Source organism: Homo sapiens, chromosome 6 (assembly GCF_000001405.40).
Source record: "Homo sapiens chromosome 6, GRCh38.p14 Primary Assembly".
Taxonomy (NCBI): Eukaryota; Metazoa; Chordata; class Mammalia; order Primates; family Hominidae; genus Homo; species Homo sapiens.
This window is the reverse complement of record NC_000006.12, coordinates 71,005,699-71,012,691: the sequence shown is the minus strand read 5'-3', so window position 1 is coordinate 71,012,691 and position 6,993 is coordinate 71,005,699. Positions and strand designations below refer to the sequence as shown.

At 39.3% G+C, this 6,993-nt stretch overlaps 1 annotated feature.

The window, feature by feature from the left end:
• Positions 2,321–2,821: an enhancer, noted in NCBI's record as "H3K27ac hESC enhancer chr6:71719574-71720074 (GRCh37/hg19 assembly coordinates)". NCBI's record gives its function as "activates a minimal SCP1, AML or CMV promoter by ChIP-STARR-seq in primed H9 embryonic stem cells {active_cell/tissue: H9 hESC(primed)}" and the evidence as "EXISTENCE:reporter gene assay evidence [ECO:0000049][PMID:30033119]".

The window sequence follows — 6,993 nt, the reverse complement described above, 5'->3', positions numbered from 1 at the left end:
ACATAAGAGAATGCTTTGTGATCTCCCAAGACACTGCTCAGTAAAATCAGTGGGTTGTCATATCTCAGGTTCATTAATTGCTCTACGGATCCTAATACCCGGTAGAGAAATCAGAGTAGGAATTTAGCCAGTGAGCTTTTGTGTTTCCAGTAATCACCTTTCAGTCAAGATTGAGGGTCAAATTCATGGAGGAATCCAGTTTTTCAAGGAAACCTTGGCTTTTTTTTTTTTTTTTTTTAACTATGAAAGAACTTCCCTTCTGGTTATTTCTATACCAGTTCTACTGCTGGGGGGATGGGGAGCTAGTAGTAAATATGGCTCATTTGGAAAGTGATCTGAATCCTCTTTTGTAAAAAGGCTAATTTTGTTGTTCTATTGTGTTCTTTCCCTTTGTGGCACTGAAGACCTCTCAGCAATAACATAAATCAAGCAGATTTGGCTTGGAGGCAGCCATCAGCTTCCTGTCCTTGTGACAAAATGGACTTAACCTCATTTGCAATCGACCACCCCCTTTTCACTGATTTTGAATTGTTTGGTTAACTCACTTTGGGAAGGAGTATCAATAATTCAGCATTAGCCAGTTGGCATGTCACCCTGACAGATGGAAACAGCTACAGTGCTATTGATTCAGTTACTCCCTCTCAGGGGGCAGTGGTGAGATTCCACCCACCCTCACTCCCCCATCTCCTGTCTATGGGATTAGTGAGAGAATAGCAAATGGTTCCAACACAGTCACTAAACCCTGTCCAAGACCTCCTGACTACAGCCAAATATGCAAATTTCCCAGGATGTTTTCACATCAGAAAAAAAATGAAGAAGCAAGAGCAAAGGGGGCTGAACAAGGCACCGGAGAAGAGAACTGAGCACCTGGGGGTCAGCAAGAGGTGACCCAGAAAAAAAGCCAAGCCAGGGACCAGCCCCCCTGCTCCTGATTCAGCCCCCCTCCCAGACACATCAGCAAAGGACGGGAGGGAGAAGGAAGCGTGTGTGTCTGTGTGTGTGTGTGTGTGTGTGTGTGTGTGTGCATAAAACAGAGAAAGAGAAGGGGACAGAGACAGGCAGATAGATAGAAAAAGAAGAAAGAGATGGTAAAATTGTGGAGGTTTGGTTGTATACCATGTTTGTTTGGGACTGTGTAATTGTTGGCTTCCCTATTCCTCAGGTTTGTCAGCGGCTGTCACTAAGCACAGTTTAGGAAGGTGAGGGACGGTCAATAGTGATCTAGTCTGGTATTACATAGCTTATGGTTAAAGGCCTTAGTCAAGGAATGCACAACAAAAATGTTTGCTTTGTGTCTATAGTTGAAATAAACCTGTTTTATGTTTATGCTGTCTTTGGATTCATAAAAATTTAGAATTCCATAAAGACTTTGGAGTCTTTATGGAATTAGGACATACAAATTAGGACATCAGTAAGATGGCCAACTAGAAGCTCCTAGCACTCTTCCACACACACAAAACAGAACAAAACAATGAATAAATAACTACATTTTGACTAAAATAGCTAAAAGAGAGCACTAGGGAATAGGAAAAATCCAGCAGGAATCCTATAGAGCTCAGAAACCCAAGATGGCCACATAGAAAATGGAAGAAAATACCTCGCCTCCACCACTCCATCCCCACAGTTGAGATCAGCTTGGAACCAGGAGGGACTTTTCCTTGCAGGGAAAAGGTGAGCAAGAGGATCCCAGCACCCCCATCACCATCTCGGCTACCTGCAGTCTTCACTACTGGAGACTCCTACAGTCCTCACAGGTTCTGAGCCCAGCTGAGACAGTTCCCTGGAGTCCATATGCTGAGCTAACCTTAGAGGAGCCTATACTGCATGCCTCCACTAGCCTGTACTGCTACTTCTCTGCACCACTGTGGAACAGAAGCAATGTTAGAGTGAGCTCTGCTCCAGGGTGAGTAGCCATTGTATACCTCCATCCCAAGAGGCTCAGCCACCCCTGTCCCACATCTACCCAGGAGCCCAGTATCTCTGAGCAGAGTTGCTGCTACATCCAACCCCCAGGACCAAGCTACCACAAAGCCGTTTCATCCTGCCGTCTCAGTTGCTGGTATTCCCTCTCCTCAGGGACAAACTGAAGTGATACCCCACAGCCAGGGATCCAGAACTTTGAACTCTCAGAGCAGTCACACCCCTAGAGCTACAGCTGAGGCAGCATCCAGTCCTGTGGCCTCCTGAACACGGGAAAAGTCATGACCCTGGCCCCAGAGCAGATGTAGTAGCCCATCCACCAGGGACCTCAGGTCTTCTGCACAAGAGAGCAGTTGCACCTCCCAGCACCCCAGCTCATCCTGCACTCTACCATCAGGGATGCAGAGGCTCCACTGAACCTGGTAGCTGAAATTTCTAGGGCTCAGTAGACACAGTGCCTTGCATCCTGGGGAATCAAAGCCTTGGCTGAGCTGGATCACCTTGCCTTCCAGGCCAAGCCACCACAGTTCTCTGCCTACCTGGAACTGAACTAGCCCTGACTCAGGTCAAGCTACTGAGGCACCCCAATCTCCAGGCAGTAGAATCATCATTACACTCCTACCCATCTTCTGGGACAAAGCCACAGCAGCATCTTGCCATCTGGGTCCTTACTGCTGCTGCCCCTGGCCTCAAAGAGCCTGGGCTACTGCCATATCCCACCATCTCAGGGTCCAAAGTCACAATTCTGTGACTCTGTGTGGTACCTCATCCCTTGGGTCCCAAGCTGCCAAAGTGCCCTATTGGTTCTGAGTCCCAAATTGCAACTATGCCCTGATTCTTGGGGCCTAAGCCTCCAGAGCATGCCTTCTTCCCCAGGGCCATGCCAGTGGTATAACTTGCCCCCCAGGGTCAGAACCACAGCTACATCCCAGCCTCATGGGCCTAAGCTGCTGAGATGTGCCCTGGAGCAATAGAACTTGGCTTAGTGGAAGAACTCCAATTCTGTAAGTGTGGTGTGTAAATCATACTTATCTTTAGTATAAAGATGCAACATAAAAATGTTCACAAATAACTAAAGCTACAATAAGTTGTTAAAGACTACAGAATATAAAGAGATGTAAATTATGACATCAAAAATATAAATGGGGTAGAGGGTAAAATTCCAGTTTTTGTATGCAACAGAAGTTAAGTTTTCATCAGCTTAAAATAGTAGATTTTAAAAATAAGGTGTTTTAGATAAGCCTCATGATAACCACAAAACAGAAAAACACTACAGCAAATATACAAAAAGTAAAGAGAAAGGAATCAAAGCTTAGCATTACCAAAAAAATTCAAATCACGAAGGTAAACAAGGAAGGAATAAAGAAAGGGGCTTTAAAAAAAACAGAAAATAACAAAATGGCGGTAGTAATTCCTTACCTATCAGTAATAACCTTGAATGTAAATGAACTAAATTCTCCAATCAAAAGACTCAGACTGGCTACATAGATTTTATAAAAATAAGATCCAATTATATGCTACTTACAAGAGGAAACTCAAGCTTTAAGGAAACACGTACACTGAAAGTAAAAGAGTGGAAGAAGACATTTCATGCAAATGATAACCAGAAGAGAGCAGAAGTGGCTACACTCATATCTGATAAAATAAACTTCAAGTAAAAAGTGTCACAAGAGACAAACAAGGTCATTATTAAATGATGAAGGAGTCAACCAGGAGAAGAGAGCCATTGGAAATTTATATGCATTCAACATTGGAGCACCTAAATACACAAAGCAAATATTAATGAACATGAAGGGAGAAAGAGATAACTAGCAATGCAATAATAATAGGGGACTTCAGTGTCCCACTTTTAACAATGGGTAGACCAACCAGACAGAAAATTAATAAGAAAATACTGGAATTAAGTTGCACTTTTGACCAAATGGACATACCAGACATATACAAAACTTGCCATCCAACAGCAGCAGAATCCACATTTTGCACCAGTCCACATGAAACATTCTCTAGGATACACTATATGGTAAGCAAAAAAAATAAGTCAACAAATTTAAGAAGATTGAAATCATACTTAGCATCATTTTGGACTGTAGTGGTATAAAACTAGAAATCAATAACAGGAAGAATCAGGGAAAATTTACAAATATGTGGACAATAAATAACATGGTCAGAACTACCAATTGGTCAAAGAGATCAAAGGGAAAATTTAAAATAGTTTGATACAAATAATAATGGAAACACGGTGTACCAAAATCTACGGGATGCAGCAAAAGCAGTTCTAAGAGGTAAGTTTATAACAATAAATGCCTGTATATAAAAGAAGAAAGATTTCAAACACATTTGTCTAATATTACATCTCAAAGAACTAAAAAAAAAAAAAAACTACACCAAAAATTAGCAGAAATAAGGAAGTAATAAAAACCAGGACAGAAATAAATCAGAGAACACAAAAATCACAGAAACAATAAATAAAACTGAGTAGTTTTTGAAAAAAATAAATAAAACGGAAAAACTCTTAGCTAGTTTAAGAAAAAAAGAAAGAATACTCAAACAAGTAAAATCAAAAATGAAAATAAATTACAGCAGATGCCTCAGAAATAAAAAGAATCATAGTGACTATTATGAACAATTTTATTCCAATAATTTGGTTAACCCAAAGGACTTGGTTAAAGTCCCAGAAAAATACGATCTACCAAGATTGAACCAAGAAGAAAAAGAAAGCCTAAACAGACTAATAACAAGTAAAGGAAATTGAAGAAGTAATCAAATACCTCCCACTAAAGAGAAGCCTAAGACCAAATGGCTTCACAGCTAAATTCTACCAAGCATTCACAGAAGAATTAATACCAATAATGTCCTTCCCAAAAATAGAAGTAGAGGGAATACTTCCAAACACAATTTATGAGGCCAGCATTACCTTCCTACTTAAGCCAGGTACAGATTTCACCAGAAAAGAAAACTACAGGCCAATTTCTCTGATTAACATTGATGCAGAAATTCTCAATAAAATATTGGCAAACTGAATCCAACAACACATCAAAAAGATTATACATAATGGCTGTATTAGTTCATTCTCACACTGATGTGAAGAAATCCTGAGACTGGATAATTTATAAAGGAAAGAGGTTTAATTGGCTCACAGTTCTGCATGCCTGCAGAGGCCTCAGGAAACTTACAATTATGGTGGAAGGCAAAGGAGAAGCAGGCACCTCCTCCACTGGGTGGCAGGACAGAGTGAGTGCAAGCAAGGAAAATACCAGATGTTTATCAAACCATCAGATCATCCAAGACTCACTCACTATCACAAGAACAGCATGGGGGAAACCACCCCCATGATCCAATTACCTCCACCTGGTCCTGCAATTGACACATGGGGATTACTGGGAATATGGGGTTACAATTCAAGATGAGGTTTTGGGTGGGGACACAGCCAAACCATATCAATGGCCAAGTGGGATTTATCTCTGGCATGTGAGTCTGGTTTAAGATATGCAAATCAACCAATGTGATACATCACATTTACCAAATGAAAGATAAATCTACATGATCATCTCAATTAACATGGAAGAAACATTCAGCAAAGTCCACAAATTCTTTCTTGATAAAAACTGTCAAGAGTTTAGGTATAAAAAGAAAGATTCTGAACATAATAAAGGCCATCTATGAAAAACCCGCATTGTAATCAATGGGAAAAAATAGAAAGCTTTTTCACTAAGATTTAGTACAAGGCACTTCTATTCAACATAGTACTTGAAGTATTAGCAAGAGAAATCAGACAAGAAAAAGAAAAAGCATCCAAATTGGAAAGGAAGAAGCAAAATTATCTCAATGACAGGTGACATAATCCTATCCGTTAAAAAAAATTCCACAAAAAAAACCTATATGAACTAATTAAAGAATTCAGTAAAGTATTAGGGTACAAAATTAACATACAAAGATCCATAGCGCTTTTATACACAAATAATGACATAACTGAAGAAGATATCAAGGAAAAAAAATCCCTTTTATGTTAGCATCAAAAAAATTAAATATCTAGGAAGAAACTTAACCAAAGAGGTGAAAGATCTATACACTGAAAACTATAAAATATTCATGAAAAAAACTGAAGAAGATCCAAAAAGATATCAATGATTATGGATTGGAAGAATTAGTATTTTTTAAATGTTCATACTACCCAAAGCAATATACAGATTAAGTGAAATCTGTATTAAAATCCCAATGGCATTCTTCATAGAAATAGAAAAAAACTAAAATTCATATATGCTATGGTTTGAATATGTTCCCTGGAGTTAATGTGTCGGAAATTTAATCCCCAATGCAACAGTGTTAGGAAGTTGGACCTAATAAGAAGTGATTTGGTGTAAGGACTCTGCCCTCATGAATGGATTAATGTTATTATTGTGAGAGTGAGTTAGTTATCTCTAGAGTGGCTTTGTTGTAAGTGTGAGTTTGGGCCCCTCTTGCTCTCTCTCACAAGTGTTCTCTTGCTCTTCCACCTTCCACCATGGGATGACACAGCAAGAAGTCCCTTGTCAGATGGAGGCCTCTTGACTTTGGGCTTCCCAGCCTCCCTAACTGTAAGAAATCAATTTTTGTTCCCTATAAATTACCCAGTCTAAGGTATTCTATTACAGCAATACAAAACAGACTAAGAAAATATGGAAACATAAAGATCCCAAATAGTCACACTCAAAAAATCTGAGAAAGAAAAATAAAGTTGGAGGCCTCAAATTTTCTGATTTAAAATCATATTGCAAAGCTATAATAATCAAAACAATATGGTACTGGCATTAAAAACAGACATATAGGCCAGTGGAACAAAATTGAGAGCCCAGTAATAAATCCAAACATATATGATCAACTAATTTTTTGCCAAGGGTGCCAAGACAGCACAATGCAGAAAGGATAGTCTCTTCAGAAAGTGGAGCTAGGAAAACTGGATTTCCACATTGCAAAAGAATGAAATTGAACCCTTATCTTATACCATACATAAAAATCAACTTAAAGTAGATAATATACCTAAATAAAAGAACTGAAACTATAAAACTTCTACAAGAGAACATAGGTAGAAATCTG